Source organism: Homo sapiens, chromosome 2 (genome assembly GCF_000001405.40).
Source record: "Homo sapiens chromosome 2, GRCh38.p14 Primary Assembly".
NCBI classification, from domain to species: Eukaryota; Metazoa; Chordata; class Mammalia; order Primates; family Hominidae; genus Homo; species Homo sapiens.
In genome coordinates, this window is record NC_000002.12 from 146,192,690 (window position 1) to 146,212,674 (window position 19,985).

The following is a 19,985-nucleotide window of genomic DNA, read 5'->3' on the forward strand; positions in this document are numbered from 1 at the left end:
AGGTAGATACTAACAAAAAGGACTATTTATTAGAAACTATAAAAAATAAAAGGAATGTGAAGTGAAAGTAAACTTAATGTAATTTTCAGAGTGCAATTCTGACCTAGGGAGAGAGAGCATGGAAGGTAGCAGAAATAAGAGATCATTAAAACAGTGTAGAGTCCCAATTCAGTGTCAGCCAAAGACAACCTGTCATTCACAGTAGTAATTTTATTAACAATTAATCTGATATTTGGGATGACATGATTTTAAAATTGCCACCAGATTGTTTCAAAGAAGGACTCGGGGGCCGGGCGTGGTGGCTCATGCCTGTAATCCCAGCACTTTGGGAGGCTGAGGTGGGCGGATCACGAGGTCGGGAGATCAAGACCATCTTGGCCAACATGGTGAAACTCCATCTCTACTAAAAATACAAAAAATTAGCTGGGCGTGGTGGCGCGCGCCTGTAGTCCCAGCTATTTGAGAGGCTGAGGCAGGAAAACTGCTTGAACCTGGGAGGCGGAGCTTGCAGTGAGCTGAGATGGTGCCACCATACTCCAGCCTCATGACAGAGAGCGATACTCTGTCAAAAACAAAAAAAACAAAAAAAACTCGGATCCAGTTTTGTGATATCTCTTTCAATGCTTATTCACATTTCCCCAAGATAGCAGGCTCATCATGGATCACAGAACTTCCAGGCCCTCTCCTCACTTATTCAGTGCTGCTAATGCATCTGCAGTCTCACTCGTTGAGTCCTCAGGAACTCCTTCAAAGCAGCAGCCAAAGATCGGCTGATCACAATTAATAAAGTGTTGGGGGAATGCACCTAATAGGTTTACACACAAACTCAGATTTTAATTATTTTAATTAATTGACCATTTAACAACTGGATATTAAACTAATAGTTTTTAAACAAAACTTTTTTCAATGTCTATGTTTAATTGTAATTCAATTTATTTCACAGGAATGTTCAAAAAGCTTTGCCTCTTTATGAGCCTTTCTTTACTCCTCTAAACTGACATAATACAATATCTTTAGTTTCTAGAAACTTATTTTGTTTCTAGCCTATGCAAGCTTGAGTCAGAAAGTATGCCTTGTTTATGTTGGCATATTTGATTTCTCTCTCTGTCTCTCTCTGCATATACATATATGCCATGTAAGCACATTGACATATTAAAGAACTCCATCCAAATCCCCAATCATGTTCAAGCAACAACTTCCCACTAAAACAACAAAAATATTGGACACTCATGAAAAATTCTCAAAGATCCAACAGTCTAAAATAAAATGACTATTTGTAGTATTGAAAAAATTATTTATTTTTTGCTTTTTAGGCAAAACATTAAAAGTATACAATGTGTAGAGAACAGTTTCTATCCTACTCTGAGGACATATACAGTGCTACAACCACATTATAGGGAAATTTATCAAAGCTAAATGCAATTATAAATGTGCCTGTCCCTTGACTCAGGAATTCTGTTTCTGGGAATTTATTCTACAGAAATTCTGTTACCAGTGCATAAAATAAGAACATAAGCAGATTCACTAGGTCATTGTTGGTAATATCAGAAACTGGGGAGCCACTGCTCTACGTCTTCCCCTAAGTGGCCTGAGGTGATATTTGAAAATGGTTCACTATTCGATTGACACAGAAAACCCCACAAAGTCATGCAAATCAAGAGATTCAAATCGTATTCATTTAAGAACACTCGTGAAACTGCCCAGGCCATCAAGGATATGCATGTATGAAAAGCCACTAAGTGACCTGAAAGATGTCACTTTACAGAAACAGCATGTACCATTCCAACATTACAATGGTGGAGTTGGTAGGTGTGCCCAGGCCAAACAGTGGAGCTGGACATAGGATCGGTGGCTTGAATTTTTGCTGCACATGCTTAAATATGCACAGAGTCATGCTGAACTTAAGGCTTTACAAGCAGATGGTCATCGAGCATATTCCGGTGAATGAAGCACCCAAGATATGCCTTTAGCTAATGGTCAGATTAACTCATACATAAAGAAGCCCTCCTTGCTGCATTGAAATCATCCTTACTGAATAGAAACAAATTGTTCTTAAACCAGAAGAGGAAGTTGCACAGAAGAAAAAGATATCTCCGAAGAAAATGAAGGAACAAAAACTTATGGCATGGGAATACATTCAGCATAAAATAAATGCAATTAAAAGTGAAAAAAAAAATCACTGGAAACAACCCAAATGTCCAGCAATAAAGTAGTAGCTTAATGAGTGTGGTATATTCCTATAATAAAATGCAGCTTTTAAAAGAAATGAAACAGACCTCAATGTACTGATTTGGAAAGATAGCCAAGATATATTATAAAGTAAAAACACCACACTAACAGTATATGTAACTATATTATATCATCTATATGGTTGTATATGTAAAGAAAATATTTCATAGAAATATACAGAAAGCTAAAATAAAAATGTTCCCTGAGGAAAGTATTCAGTATATTTCTTCATTTACATTGCTGCATTTTTTAACCTTTTCAACATATATATATATATATATATATATATATATATATATATATATATTAACCTTACAATCAGAGGAGTTTAAAAACAAAACAGGTATTATAGTGTAAAATGAACAAATCAGATTACAAGACAATGAATGCAACATGTTTCTAATTTTGTTAAAAAATAAGATTAATTAAAAACCATTAGTAAGGTATAATCAAAATTTAACAATGTTTGTAGGAGAGGGGAACTTATGTTTCCTATGCTTCTCTTTATTTCTAAAAATCTACATAATAGAATTGCGCTGTTTTTATGATAAAAATACATAACAGCACCCATTTATAAATGATTTAGGTATTATTATGCATGTTATAGATTTTTTTTTTTTTTTGACAGGATCTCACTCTGTCACCCTGGAGTGCAGCAGTGTGATTATGGCTCATTGCAGCCTTCACCTCCCGGGCTCAGGTGATCTTCCCACCTCAACCTCCCAAGTAGCTGAGATTGAAGGTGCATGTCACCATGCCCAGCTAATTTTTTTTTTCTTTTTGTCTTTTTGTAGAGACGGGGACTTGCCATGTTGCCCAGGCTGCTCTCGAGCTCCTGGACTTAAGTGAGCCATCCACACTGGCCTCCCAAAGTGATGGGATTACAGGTGTGAGTCACCACACCCAGCCAGGGAATGATTTGTTTTAAATTCATTGTAATAATCCCATGGAGGTTTTAGAGACCATTTCAATAATTTGTGATAACTTTAAATTTTTTTTTCTCAAACACCTATTTTAGTTTACTCACAATATACACCAAGCCATTTACACGAAGGAAATCTCAATATTAATATCCTATAATGAAGGTCAACAACATGCAAGAATTTAGATTCTCGGTATGCTCAAGAAACTTGAAAATTAACTCAGCAATTGGACAAAAAAAAAAAAAGATTCTCATTTATTCTGGCGAAATAGAATGAGAAGGCAAATATATTAAGAAAGACAATGGTGAAGTCAATAGGATGCCAGAAAATGAATGTGTTCCTGTGAGTATCGTTCATACACATGCAACATAACAGTGTGCCAGCATTGTTCTAAGCACATTGCAAATATTGAGTTACCTCATCCTTATAACAATCTTAGGAGTACATATCATTAAAATTTTTATATTTTCTGAATGAGAAAACTTTGTTTAGAGAAATTAAGTAGCTTTCTCAATGTCAGGATTCAAAATAATAAAACACGTTTTTGATTGAATCAACAAAAGGCCATAGGAACCACTTTAAACAAAGAAGTATTTATTAAGGAGTTTGGTAACTTGTAGATACCACAGTGTTCTGCATGTACTATGTTGTTCCACAGGACAATATCTACACTTGGTGTCACTTAAGTTACCTACTTGCCCCTCTCCAAGTCCCATGCTGTAAGTTTATCTGTCAGATGAGAAGTTTTCTATTAAATAATTTGTAAGAATTCTGAAAAGATTTACCACTCTGAGCTATAATCTCAATATATTTCCCTTATTTAACTCAAGTTTCTTTAATGTATGGATTGTAAAATTGAGTGATTATTTCAAGTCTTGTGTATAATGATATGCCTCCAGGCCAACTTCACTGAGGAGATAGTGAATAAATTTGATATGTCTCCTCTCATCTTCTTTACTAAATGTTGACATTTCAGTCTTTTCCTCTGTTGTTTATTTGGTGTCACAGTTTCTCCGACATGAGTTTTTAGTTAGAAGCCAGCTTGAATATGCCATTAAAATGTTCATTAAAAAGGTTCTTCTCTCATGTATGTACATTTTTGAAATTTTATCTAGAACATTTGAAGACAGAAAATTTAAAGAAATTATTTTCTAACAATAAAAGTTAGTAACCATAAGATGTCTTGGTGTACAGTGGTTTTTGCCATATTCCATAAAACCCACCACACAAAGAAATCTTGTTAATATTTTCAGAAGAATCTCATTAAAATTATTGGTTTTAAATTTCTGGCAGGGTTATAACATGAATATTTGTCACATACAATGTCTTGCAATCCAGAGGAAAAACTACTTCTAATTTTTATTCAGATTCTGGTGCATTAAAATAAAGTAGCAATCCTCAGACTATATCTAATTAGTCTTTGTCTCCTGCACCTTTTCTTACTGTTTCTTCCCTTATCCCCAATCTGGGCAAAACACACACATTTCATTAGTGAATTGAGCAAAACAACTTGATTTGAAATCCACTTCCTGTTCATGTTGGCCATGTTGCCTTGGGCAAAGTTCTTTAACCTATCTGTACCTCAGTTCCCAATTCTACAAAAAGGGAGCAATAATAGTATCCATGTCTAAGGGCTTCTGTGAGGATTAACTTAATATACATAAAGTAATTACTTAGAGGAGTACCTGGCACATAAAATAGTTACATAGTAGTTTGTCATTTTCATTTTACAAAGATTAAAGTAGGCATACTATAGTTTAATGCAGTTCTATAGAACTTATTTTTAATTATTATTTTATTATAAAACCAATACATACTTATTACTGAAAACATGAAAAAATACAAACACAAAAATTAGAAAATTTTCCTTATTTTTTTCCCATACACGGGTAGGGTCAATACTTTAATCTTATTGTTTACATGCACATACAAACAGGCATATGCCATTTTTTTCTGGAATAAATAAGTACAGCTTGAAAAAGACTTGGTTAAAATATGAAATGTGAATGACCATCTACTCCCACTCAACCTGATACGGTTTAGCTGTGTCCCCCCCACTCAAATCTCATCTTGAATTTCCACATATTATGGAAGCGACCCTGTGGGAGGTAACTGAATCATGGGGGCAAGTCTTTCCCCTGCTGTTCTCATGATAGTAAATAAGTCTCATGGGATCTGGTGGTTTTATAAAGAGGAGTTCCCCTGCACAAGTTCTTTCTATTTGTCTGCCACCATCCATATAAGACGTAGTTTACTTCTCCTTGTCTTCCACCGTGATTGTGAGGCTTCCCCACCCATGTGGAACTGTAAGTCCATTATAAGCCTCTTCCTTTTGTAAATTGCCCAGTCTTGGGTATGTCTTTATCAGTAGCGTGAAAACAAACTAAAACAGTAAATTGGTACCAGGAGAGTGGGGCGCTGCTGAAAAGATACCTGAAAATGTGGAAGAAACTTTAGAACTGGGTAACAGGCAGAGGTTGGAACAGTTTGGAAGGCTCAGCAAAAGACAGGAAAATGTAGGAAAGTTTGGAATTTCCTAGAGACTTGTTAAATGGCTTTGAAAAAAATGCTGATAGCAATATGAACAATAAAGTCCAGGCTGAAGTGGTCTCAAATGGAGATGAGGAACTTGTTGGGAACTGGAGAAAATGTGACCCTTGTTAGATTTTAGCAAAGAGATTGGTGGCATTTTGCTCTGGCCCTAGAGATTTGTGGAACTTTGAACTTGAGAGAGATGATTTAGGGTATCTGGTGGAAGAAATTTTTAAGCAGCAAAGTGTTCAAGAAGTGACTTGGGTACTATTAAAGGCATTCAGTTTTATAAAGGAAGCAGAGCATAAAAGTTCAGAATCTGAAGCCTGACAATGTGATAGAATAGAAAATGCCACTTTCTGAGGAGAAATTCAAGGTGGCTGCAGAAATTTGCATAAGTAATGAGAAGCTGAATGTTAACCCCCAAGACAATGGGGAAAATGTCTCCAAGGCATGTCAGAGGTCTTCACGGCAGCCTCTTCCATCACAGGCCTGGAGGGCTAGGAAGAAATAAAATGGTTTCGTGGGCCAGGCCCAGGGCCCCCGTGCTGCATGCAGCCTAGGGACTTGGTGCCCTGCGTCTCAGCCACTCCAGCCATGACAAAAAGGAGTCAAGGTATAGTTCAGGCTGTGGCTTCAGACGGTGCAAGTGCCAAGCCTTGGCAGCTTCCATGTGGTGTTGAGTCTATGAGTGCACAGAAGTCAAGAATTGAGGTTTGGGAACATTCACCTAGATTTCAGAGGATGTATAGAAACACCTGGATGTCTAGATAGAAGTTTGCTGCAGGGGTGGGGTCCTCATGGAGAACCTCTGCTAGGGCAGTGCAGAACAGAAAGGTGGGGTCAGAGCCCTCACACAGAGTCCCTACTGGGGCACTGCCTAGTGGAGCTGTGAGTCCAGTATAAACCTCTTTCTTTTGTAAATTGCCCAGTCTTGGGTATGTCTATCAGCAGCATGAAAACAGACTAACACACCACCCGTGTCCCCTTCCTCTCAAATGTCTTATCAGTAGAAAACATGTTTTTTTGTTTTGTTTTTGTTTTTGTAAATATCATTAACAGTCTAGGGAAACAAGCAGTGTGCCAAAGACTCTCCTAGATATTATGATGAGCTATTAAAGACAGAAAATTAAAAGGGATCTTGTAGAAAGAACAGAGAGAAATTACAGATCTTGAAAAACTTTGGGGAAGGATAGAATATATCCAGAGAAACTAAACATGTGAAATCAACACATCCATAGAAAAAGGTGGGCCTGGGAATAGATGAGTCACTTTCAGTTATGTATTCAAAAGAGCAGCACTGCTTCTCCAAACCCCATCTCATTACCCACAAAAGAACTCGCCCACAAAGGCACTGATCCTGAGACCTGTGTGGAAAGTGTAAAGTGCTTCCCAGGTGGTCACTTGCATGAGTGAGAGAGAAGCTTGGATAGTTACATATTTCATAACAGGTCTAAAGAAAAACAAAGAAAGCTCTATGGAGGGGATAAATACTTGATTTCCAATAGCCAAATCAAGCCATCCTCACTTTAGAATCTAGGGAAGGACAGAAATTGGTGGCTATCTTCACATTTAAACAGCATAACACAAAATCTACAACTCCCCACTGCTCTCTTTATAAGGCGCCTGTTGGCCTTGCTTTTGGAACAGTCTATTTTTGGAAACACTTCGATGAACTCCTGAAGAAATCAACACCACTACTCATTATAATTGACTTCATCATTCATAACTATAAATATGTTGGAAACAAATCTCTTGAAAGAAAGGATCAAAATGAGAACATAGAATAGTAGATATGTGCAAAAGAAAGTAGGCAATAATTAAAAGCAAAATAATAGCTGGCATCTTTAGAATGTTTGAGGGGACATTTCTTTTCAAATAAGAACAGGCTGCTATGAAGACAGAACATTCAGAAAGCAAGGGAGTTACTAGGAAATAAAAACTTCAAGAAAATCTCAATAGAAGAATGCACTTACTAGACAACCTAAAGCTTTGTATTGAAAATGTTCCTTAAGTGCTGGTCGGACTGAATTTAAAAGCATATGCTAAGAGATGGAAAAATAGAAGTAAGGGTCAGACTTCTTATTAGGTAGCTGCTGGATAAGAACCAGCATTTTAAATCTTAAAAAAAGGTGGCTGGGCGCAGTGGCTCACGCCTGTAATCCCAGCACTCTGGGAGGCTGAGGCGGGCAGCTCACAAAGTCAGGAGATCGAGATCATCCTGGCTAACACGGTGAAAATATAAAAAATTAGCTGGGTGTGGTGGTGGGTGCCTGTAGTCCCAGCTACTGAGGAGGCTGAGGCAGGAGAATGGCATGAACCCAGGAGGTGGAGGTTGCAGTGACCCGAGATCGTGCCACTGCACTCCAGCCTGGGCGAGAGATCAAGACTCCATCTCAAAAAAAAAAAAAAAAAAAAAAGTTTCTCCAAACCCTAACATAATGACTTCTGCTTATATTTATTGGCCAGAAGGACATCACACCCCTTTCTGCAAGGAAGCTGTGGGGAAGATTTTGTTTCTCTATTCTGAGACATCGAATAACCACTAGGTAACCTGTAGCCTTTCCATACATAGTATACAATAAAATTAGAGGAAAATAAAGGTCTGGACAGTTCTCACTAACAACATCAGTTGCACCTGGGAAAGCACTGGGTTGTTAGGGTTCGAGAGCTGAAAGGGGATAGGAAAGGTCAAGACATCCAGAAAAAGTACTTTGACATTTTATGCTGTATTTTTGTTGAAAAACTTTGCAACAAGAAGAGATTTTTGCATTGCTTACATAAAGTAAATAAAAACTTATTTGTATTGTGTAAAATGTGAAGGCTATAGAAAAATCAAAAGTAGTAACTAAAATCATGCAAAATTCCATTGCATTTTCACAGGTGATTTTGTGTATAATTTTCACATTTTATGTAAATACCACACAAACAGATAATATACATGTTGAATTTTATTCATAGTAAACACAGGAATGACACGGGTTTTTGAAAGAATATTATAGACACAGGTTCTTCCCAGCAGATAGTGTTCACCACTTGGTAGTCTTTCCAATTAAAAACCCATAAACCCAATTTTCGATGAGTTTTAAGGATGTAGAAATACATTATTTAAGTCCCTTGAAATAAAAATCATCCTTTTGTTACTATAAGTGGTTTTGCTTTGGGGAGATACTTGTTTGATAACTCCATCTATAATGCCTCAATTGTGTAAACAGATAAATAATTTTTGTTCGTAATTTAATAATTTGTGACTACAATAAATATTTAAAAAATCAAAATCTCATGCTATCAAAATTTCTTACCCAGTAAAAAGAAGTGTGTTAATGTTTAATATAATATCAGCTGCAAAGAATATATAAAAGAGATTTTTTTAACTTAGATTGTCATAAACAATTGTGGTAACCTTAACGTAAACTATTAATCCCAACACTAGAGCATTTTTCTCTACTTTGGATTGTACCCATTGGACCCAGTATAAAGGGTGTGACTAATGCATAGTGAAGTATAAAGTCTCTGTCACCTGTTTCTTTCTACTTCCTTCCCTCCTACTCTTGTTCTTTTAAGACAATGGTTAAATATTTATTTCTAAATATTTCTCTATCTCTTTAACTTTATAGTCTTCTAACTTCATTTGAATAAGAGACATAAAAGTAAGACATGAGAATTGGAAAGATGCACTAAAACTGTATTATGTTTCCCTCTAACTTCCCACCCGTCCTCATCATCCAACCAAATCCCTAACACAAAAGAAAACGAGTGCAGGGACTTAGCCCAGGAATTGTCTCTCTACTGTTAGCCTGAGAGGGGAGGATGAATTTAAATCCAAGGGAATTTGTAAAGACCACGTATCTGGGTAATTTTGGCTCTGGCCATGTATAGAAGAATGAACCTCTAGGATACGGTTAATAAGGAATAATTGTGAGTAAGAACTGTCTGATCAGTACTTGGCAAAGTAGCACAGACTAGGCAGTTGCTACACTATGGATTGATGTGTTAATTAATGTTAAGTTAGTGATATATTGTAACTTTTTTATTTTTCAGGTAGGAGGTATGTGTCCATATGTGTCTGGGTCTGTGAACTGTTTATTCAGGGGAGACGTAGGAAATTAAGCCATTTCTTTCTCTGTAGTCACATTAAAAAAAAAAAAAAGGCCCTGGCAATGCAATACACTAGGAAAATATTTACCTTATATTTGTTTATCACAGAAAACTTTAAATTTGCATAGAATTTCCCTAAATTTAACCACAAATATTTTATTTCATAGAACTGGAATTAATTGGTACAAATGGAAACAGTAAAGAAAATGACCCTTTACTTTTATTTCTATCAATATTGTTTCCATTCTAGATTTTAATAATTGGATTATTGTTGTTCTGTGGGATGCAATGTTCCTGCAAGAATGTTTTCAAGTGTTTTTATTTAAAAAATTAGAACTGGTTTAAGAACTAAATGATGCATAAAATTCTTGATAAGAAATGGAAAACATTTCTAAAATTTATTGATAAATTATGTTTTTACCAGTGTTCAACATTTTGAAGAAGAATCTGAGGAATAAAATTATTACCTCTATTATTCATTGATTATTGTCTCATTCATGTTTTAAAAATACACTTAATAATCTCATGATTAAGAAAAATATTGCCAAAAATGAATTCACTTTTTATCTTTCAAGCTTGGACAGTGTCTTCAAAATCTACTGTAAATATTCATTTAATGCTTTTTATCTTATAGGCGAGAAAATTACATACTTTGCCAATACTATGTTTTTAACATGAGTGCAGTTATATCAATATTATTATAATTAATGATTACATCATGCTTTAGGAGGAAAGTACAGAGAAGGTTGGTATTAACATGCACGGTACACCATTGTGATATCAATACTCATTTTACTGTTCAGATTTTTTTAAAGCTAATAGCTGTCAAAAATACCCATTATAGGCTAGTCTATAATTTGTAGAAGTCAAGTAATACATTTTTTCTGAAGGTATAATGGATGCTCCATGGAGCAATTATTTTAGAAAGACAACTTCATCTCAGCTGTCTCGTGCCAGCAGAACTATTTAAGAGCCTGAGATGCATAATTCAACATGGAAGGGCTGTCAGAGTTGAGAATACCTTTAAATTATAAAAACTTAGCACCACGAGTCAGTTATAATTATAATGGAAATGTAGTTTTCTGTCATTTTATCATGACAAACATCTCTCAAGAAGCAATTTTGCGTGTTAAAATATTTTGGCAAAGTGACTTTTGATTCCAAAGGGATACAGATTATCTGGTTTTATACCTGATTTTTTTTTTTTCACAAATTGAGTTTAACAGCTTGCACTGCTTAAGATGGCAAACATCGGAATATTATTAAAAATCCCATTGGAAAATCTTGCAGAGAGACCACAGGCTACAGTAACTCACAAAGGCAGGTCAGGTTATGCATAAAAATATATTATTTTAATAGCAAAATATGACAGGCAGTTCTTCATCTGACATTCAATTATTTTACATGGCAAATTTCTGAATATAAAAATGGTTGCCATTGTAGACACAGTCTCTTTTCCAAGCAAATATTTCCATGATTAAAAATTAAAGTAAAGGGTAATAGTTCAAGATCTTCCTGGATTCTTAGGTTCTTTGCCTTTGATGGCTTCCCAAAACGTTCTGCTCTCCAGATGGTAGCTCTTGTCTTCCTCCTCTTCTACAAAGCTTTTATTATTATGAAAGATCAAAAGTAAAAGAAAATTGTTTTAATAAAATGAGCTGAAGAATAAAAGCACAGTAGCATATATCATAAATTTCAAGTACTCTTGTAAATTCCAATAGACGGAATATTTAAGTGAGTTCAGATTCCACAGTTCTTTCCTACCAATTTTGAATTACAGGACTTAACAGAACACTCAGTTTTGCATACTGTCATCAAAAATAATTCCCTAAGACAATGAGTATATTTGTTAACTTTATGTAAGTTTTCTTTTCATGTCAGCCATGGTAGTAAACTAATATTCTTTTTTCCAAATAATTGGAATGAACTTTAGGTTCTTAATTTATTTCTAAAAATGAGTAGACTGATTCAAATATTTTTGTTTCCCCAGTCCACTTATTGACTTCCTATTATGTGCATCATTTGCTCCTTTTTGTAAATAATAAAAATAATTTTCAATTATTCAAAATATTTAATTGTCCATTTTTAATAAAATCAAGCCAAGCCAAAACTATATTCAATTAAAGCAGACTAAGAAGAATGTGCTGCAAATCAAACTTGATTATACTTTCAGTTCAACAAATGCTTGTTGGGTGCAAAATATGTCTGAGGTATTTTCTAGACACTGGGGATATATCAATAAAAAGGGAAGAAAAAATATTTTCATCACGTGGTTTATATTACTGCTCTCAAAAAAGAGAGAAAATCCAGCAAGCTAAACACAAACTTTAGAGGTAATATATTTAATTGATGTTATTTTATTATAAGCCTTCAATAGTTTCTTAAAATGAAGAGATAATTCCATAAGACCAAGGGCAGTCATATTAATATTCTTATTTTAAGAAGTATAGGAAAATAATTATCCTCACACATATAAAATCCCTAAAAATAAGGACAAACTCATATCTGAAAAAAAGAGAGCAAGAAAGGAAGAGAGAAAGCATACTTATTTATGCTAGTTGGTTTAACTTTTGTTATATCATTTTATCTACATAGTAACATTGAGAAATGCTGTCCTCATTCTAAGGAAAAAACTGAGAATCAAAGAATTAACTTTTCCAACAAATTGTAAGATTTTTAAGAGTAATTAAACTTATATATTTCTAATTCTTCAACTTCTACCAAATTAGTTTTAAAATTTTTCACAGATTAAACAACCTGAAATGATATTTAGAGATGCATTAATTCATTTCTCTGCCTCTGGAGACAATCTATTGTTACTAACTTAAAAAAATGAGTTTTCCAAGAAAATGTTTTATCAACTATTTTATATTATTTTTCGTTACACATGGAACACAATCTTTTCTATTCTGTATTAATTTTTTGCTTAAGCACATATACACTACACACACATGCACATTGCTTAAAAAACATGCTAACAAGGATTTAAGCTAATATTGGAATGCCAAATTTTTCCCCTGGTCCTTATTTTGCCTATTGTAATTCAAGATGATATAATACTTGCAATCAGTCGCTGACTTTTTTCATATACAGATATTAAAAAAGGTATAAATACTGCATTCTTCTTGTTCATAATAGTACAATCTTATAGACATTGTAACGCACCGATTTTTAAATGATTACCAGAATTAAGTGTATTTTGCTGAAAAATTGAATCTAGTTACGGTATTATTCTATAGTATCACAGATGTAATCATTATCTAGAAAATAAGAAATAATGCATTACAGTAATGCACTACACATATGATTACTTTTAGTATAATGCAGTATAATGCTTAAATTAATTCCAAGCAACTTCCTAATTTTATTTCAGTACAACTAGATTGCAAGACACAGGGAAGAAGAATATAAAACATAGGCAATATTTTATTTGATTCATTTTGACTGAATCATGAACTGCTGTAACACATGAAGATTCTGAAAACGTTAACTGCTTTAGAAGTGAATTTAATAATTTGTCTTTACTCATCATTGTGAATAAATGAATGGAATTCAGAACTGACATAGAAACACGCAAAGTTCTATTTGTACAGTACTGGGGTGGAAGAACATTTTCAAGAAGGGATACGGAGGAGAGAGAAAAAAAAATGGAAAGAGGGCCAAAGAGAGGGAAATAGATAAAAAAGAAAGAAGGTGTCAAGTTAATTTGCAGGGTGGTATGAGCTTATTTGTGTGTTCAGCAAATTGGAAAACTAAATAGGCAAAGCTCCCAGCTTAACTTTGAGATTTACCTTTTACCTTTTTTGTATTCTTCTTTAATATAACAGTTCAAATGAGGACTTAAAATTAATGCTATAAATACAGACTTTTAATACAGTGTTGCATTGTTTGGAATATCACATTAGGTTTTCCTAATGAGTCAACAAAATTCCTACATTGCCCCCTAATTGTCTAAAATTAAGAAATTTAATAATAATTAATAATAAATATATGCATTTTAATAGAGGAAGAGTTAGTTGTACAACTTTTATGATGCCAAGCTTTGTATTCAGCACAAACTGCAAGGCAGAGTGTTCGTGGCGTGGGATCCTATAGATAGTAATCTCTCTTTTGAAGACACAGAGACATTTTGAAGCTGACTCACATTCTCATCAACTAAGGGAACAGTGTGTCAAGATTTCAATCTGGGCATAGGATCTTGCTGAATATTACTAATATATCTTTCTCTCTTTTTTCCTTTCTCTTCATCCAACTCTACTTCTGCCTTTCCATTTCTCCCTCCCTTGATTTCTATCCCATTTTTTTCTCTGCCTCTCAAATCATTAAAATATAATTTAACTATTAATTCAGTAGAATTAAGTATTCACATTTACTATCCAATGTCTGAAGCCATTAAACTTACAGTAAACAATATTTTATTCTGCTTTACTTGTGCAATTTATTTTAATATTGTTTAGGTGGTTAAATTGACCTTAAACCACATTTAACCCCAGTTTATCAAGTATTGTGATGCCATATCATGTAAGTTTTAAGATGTCAAATGACAAAAGTATCAAAGACATATTGTAGATAAGAGAGTGGTATTAAATCACAGAAAATTCAAAGATGGTTGAAACATTTTGAATAGCAGACTATTTCGGATGACCTCTTAAGTAAAGCACTGCCTTCCTATGACCTGATCATTATGCTCCACCATATCCTTGTTTAATTAATCTAGGCACTTTCAAAGTTTACTTCTTCACAAGAATGCTTTTGAATTTTCTGAAACTCTGGAATAATATGTATTCAAGTAGAAAGTTTAAAAAACACATAAGGTACAAAGGCAAACACCCCCAAATCACTTGATATCTCACTATACTTCCCCAAAATGATGAGCACCATTCTACTAGATTTTTCCATGCATATATTATGTGTGGCTGTGGGCTAACATACTTTTTTACACATCTAAGAGGTTTTCAAATAAGAATTTTGCAATGTGTACAGAGAAATCATGAAAATGAAATAATGCCTGTTCAAAATCAGCATTTGGATGAATGGTAAGAGACAGAAACAACATTTTATTATTGAGTGGCAAACAGTAACAGAAATTATTTCTCAAACCAAGTTCAAAGTATAGTAAACAAATATGATGTAATGGTGGGGGAAAGGAAGTGGAAGCTGAATAGTACAGAGAAGGTTGTAACTGACAGAAACCTTGGACACTTAGTTTACTATTATTATTTTTGTTTGTTTTGATTGGTGTCTGATTAAAAGACGGCATGTTATAGATAAAGTGGACTTGGTGACTATTCATTTATATCCAGCTTTCTTTGTATCCCAGAAATGATGTTTAGGATTTTCTCTCCCTCTTGACTCCACTTTCTTTGCTTCTCTCCATATACATATACTTCTTAAGTCCACATAACTTTTTAATATAAACTGTAACAAAAATTACAAGTATCTAAACTCTCTTGTGACTCAAGGACTGGTAAAATACTTTTGTGGGCTAAGTTGAGGGAGCAGACCCATCTAAAGAGAACCTTATGCCAATCTATTGTTCTGAAATCAGTAGTTTTAACATGAGTTTCATTTATGAGACTATGCTAAAGCCAGATCCCATTATCCCATCATAGCCAGGCTCAGGCTTTCGCTTTCTGCCTCTTTTCATGGAGGCTTTATGATCTAAAAAAATGTCTTGGTCCACTATTCGTGAATTCTATTAGCAGAGGCATTCTTGCACTTACGTCAAGTAATACTGCATATAAATGGAGGATAAAAGGATTACCAGATTATAAATCAAACAAGAGTTTCTGGCAATATAAATCTTGGTTATGTAGGCTCTTGTGTTAATGGAATTGCAGAATTCCATTGGCCAGTAAGAATTTAAATTCTGTGTTAGAGACCTCGCTAATTTCTCACAGGAGTCCCTCACTAAAATATACTGAAAAATAAAGAGGAAGGCTTGCAAGCAAATTTGTATCAGGTCTTGAAATTATTTTCTACGATAGTGCCAAAAATATTCCTGGCATTTGAAAATGTATTGTCAACATCCATGCTGTACAATTCTAAGACTTGTCTTGGAACTTATTTAGTCACTTTAATCACTCAAATAAATGCAGCCAAATTGTGTTAAATGCAAACCAGAAGTATATGTAACATTGAGATAAATGGGATATGTTAGCCAATGGATTAAAGTTCTGTAAGGTAGTATCTGGCTCAATCAAATGACTGAACCTCTATGTTCAGGTTAATCAACCAATTCAGTCAAATGACCGTGGTAAAATTTCTGTGTTTGTGGTTATGTTTTTTTTTGTATACATAAATGCAAAATTAACTGTTTTTGAGAATTAACATGGTTTAAGCAGTTGTGTTTGAATAATTAATAATTGACTTTATCTCTAAATGTGAATCTAATACAGATACACATGGTAGTATTCTCTTGATTTATTAAAAGTGATATTTAATATGTGGTGGTTATATAATGGGATGGATTTTGAGATGGTGAAAACAACCTTCATATATGGTAATTGTAAAACATTCTTGTTTCTTCAAAATAGTCTAGATATATTTTAAGACAATAAATATTCATTTATTAAACCTATATTTGTTGAGCATCAAGAATATGAGGAGTAAGCTAGGTGTGGGATTATGACACATAATAGGATATCATGTCTATGCAAAAAGCGAGGACATATTGTTAAGGAGACCCTTCAAAAGGAAATGAAGCCACTTCCTTTCCATGTGAGAAATGATGGTCAGATATAATGTCTATATTTTTACTTTTTATCCAAATTCCCTGTAGGGTTAAACATGTGACACGCCATTGTCAGTTTGCACAAGGCCAGTCCCTGATATTCTTTAATTTTATTTTCTGTAGGATATTTCCCTTTATTTGTCCTCTAATATTTAATGGTAGACAAAGTGGAGGGGTCCCATCTATGGCTAACCCAGAAGTACAATACAGCCTAGATCTATTAGTGCATAAGAACAGTGTTGCAGATGTCAAAAATTCATCATAGGAGAAAAGTCTTGGAATACAAACTTTGCTAACTCCTTGCCTCACTACACCTCTTTAAAATTTATTTAAAGCATGTTTAAATCTGGGCAGAAAGCATTTATTACTTTGGGTCCCATGATGAGTCTTGGATATAAAATGTGTTTAAAGAATGGACAACTCCTGACATAGGGTTTTCTCCATTGTCTCCAGGCCTCAAAAGACCATTTCTCCAAAAGTGCATCCTGGCACTGTACCACACACTGGCAAATATTAAAAATAATATAACATGACAGTGAATGGAAAAAAGTTTTACAATAGGTTTCATAATTTAAATATTTACAAAGACTTCAGAAGCACAGACCATATTTTAATAGGCTTTAGAGGCTAGTTAACATGAACCTTCAGGAATAACAAGAACATCAGGCATTTTAGATGAGGAAAGACATCGCAAGTTGAGAAAAGGGAATAGTCAATGGCATCAGGTGGGTGTCAAATTATGGCGGACTGTAATACTGGAAGATCCCATCATGTGGGTAGAGCAGAAAGGGACATGATGCAATTTATGATTTACAGGGCTGTCTTTGGAAACAATACGAAATGAAGAACTGAGAAACTGGACTCAGAAAGAGCAACTGGGAAATTATTGCAAAAATTCACACAAAAGATGTAGAACCTGGCAGTTAGAGTGAGAATGAAAAGGAGTTAGATTCAATAATTAGTTCAACAGAGGAACTGAGAGTGATGATTTCACTATTGCTCTGTACCATCATTTGTCTGTTAATGTAGGAAGGCAAATGGCATAGGAGTTGACTGAGGTCAATATACTGATGCTGCTGCTTATTAGATGTGTAACCTTGGACAAGTTACTTAATCTTTCTAAAGTTTTCTTATAAAAAATGTGAAGATAATAGACCTCAATTTCATGGAATTTTGGAACTTAGCAAGCTATAATAACTTTTATATATTTCCTTCCTGCTATAAGTATCTACACCTGGACAATGGTAGCAAGAAAAATTACAGCTGTTTTTAAAGTTAGTATGGATAATTTTACTTTATCACTTTTTCAGAGAAATCATATGTTTGTGTGTATGTGTGTGTGTGTGCACATGTGTGTGTATATATATACATATGTACATATCTATCTATATCACATTTGAAGTCGATTGGATTCTGTAAAAAATTGGAGGAGACACATCATATATAATGGTGCTAACTGGACTCTAAGTTGGGAGTTGTCAAACTTGGCTACATATTGAGCTCATCAAGAATTTGGGAAACAAAATTTCTGGGATAAAAGCTGAGCCAATGGAATTAGAGTATCTGGAAATGGAAGACAGGAGTCATTTTTTAGAGGATCACAGGTAATTCCAGTGCACAGCTTAAATTGATGACCACTGCTCAAAGTGTTTCAGGTCAGCACTTCTCAAAATTGAATGTGCATCAAAATCACCTGGGAAACCTGTTGAAATGCAGGTTCCATAAACCTGATATGGAGTCTGAGATTCTGCATTTCTGCAAGATCTCAGTGGCTGGCTTGTCACTGATGAGTAGACCAAACTTGGAGTAGAATGGATCTTGATGATTGGATCAGAGATGCTTCTGTAGACCAGAAAAGTTTCCAGGAGCTTGGGCCAAGGGTTGTTGGATTTCAACAGCTGGTAAAGCATGGAGATTCCATTCAGTCACATGGATCAAGAAGAACAGAGGGTACATGGGGGATGCACGGAGAACAACATGACTGATACACAGTCAATTTTGAGGGAGTAGTAGAGGATAAATCTGAAACATGAGGAGAGTGTGAGAATAGAGTGAGGCCTTGAAAGCTCTGGGGAGATAACCAGGCTTTTACTTGCAAATGGTAGTCTCCCTCTAATACTAAAGAGCCTGGGCAAGAGTACAAATGCGGCACTACTCACAATAGCAAAGACTTGGAACCAACCCAAATGTCCACCAATGATAGACTGGATTAAGAAAATGTGGCATATATACACGATGGAATACTATGCAGCCATAAAAAAGGATGGGTTCATGTTCTTTGTAGGGACATGGATGAAGCTGGAAACCATTATTCTGAGGAAACTATTCCAAGGACAGAAAACCAAACACCACACGTTCTCACTCATAGGTGGAAATTGAACAATGAGAGCACTTGGACATAGGGCAGGGAACATCACACACGGGGGCCTGTCATGGGGTGGGGGGATGAGGGAGGGATAGCATTAGAAGAAATACATAATGTAAATGATGAATTAATGGATGCAGCAAACCAACATATCATATGTATACATATGCATCAAACCTGCACGTTGTGCAGATGTATAATATGTGCACATAATAATATTATTAAATATATTATTATGTATATTTAATAATATTAAAGTATAATAAAAAGAAAGTATATATTTTGAAACAGTTTTAACAATTGCAATAGCAAAACATTGATTTTATATATGGTAGGCACTCTGATAAATACTTCATGCTGATTACGTGGTTTTATTCTCATGACAGTACTATGGGATATGTACTATTATCCCATTTTATTGTTCATGAAACTTAAATAGGCAGAAATCAGTATCTTGCTCAAGGTCATATGGCTGATAATGAATTCAGACCGAATTAGCTCATTCTTTCATTCTTTGTCAGTTTTTCAGAGATGGTACTATTCTGGTTCAAAAAAAATCAAGTTACCAAGTTTATAATTTTATATTCATATACTGCTAAAATGGAGTTTTAGTCCAAACTGAGTAAACTATTACAAATTTATCCAAACTCAGCTAAAAAAGCAACAATATCTTGCATGCCTTAGTCTGTGAAACCATATAATTCTCAATATGTGTATGGGTTTATCCAACATGGTTTAGAAAAGGCAATTCTGAAAAATAATATCAATTTATTGATGCTGGGATTACAATACCTACTTGTGTTGGAGCAGATAGATCATAAAGGATCCTTCCTTAAATGATCAGTACATGTATACTGTTCCAGGAATGTGAAAGACCAAAAACAGAGTAAAATTTTCTAGATAATCGGATTCAACATATCTGTCCCCAAGGATCCAGAATCCAAAATTTTTGCAAGTACCCTATGTAAATATTATGGTATGCCATACAACTTGAGAAACACGAATGTAGTTCAATGAATTCTGGCAAATAGTGAGAATTTTAAGACATTTTTAGTAATAGTTATTTGAAAAACATGATCAAGCTAATGGGACAGTAGACATTTTT

At 34.5% G+C, this 19,985-nt stretch overlaps 1 long non-coding RNA gene and 1 pseudogene across 1 annotated transcript in view; one reads left to right on the forward strand and one right to left on the reverse strand.

The window, feature by feature from the left end:
* On the forward strand, positions 1,607–2,132 carry RPL17P12 (ribosomal protein L17 pseudogene 12; annotated as a pseudogene).
* LOC105373667 (uncharacterized) overlaps positions 10,435–19,985 on the reverse strand; it is a 210,228-nt gene continuing 200,677 nt past the window's right edge. Inside the window, exon 3 of the long non-coding RNA XR_923422.4 lies at positions 10,435–11,386. This is a non-coding gene — a long non-coding RNA (uncharacterized LOC105373667). The remainder of the gene's footprint in view (positions 11,387–19,985) is intronic.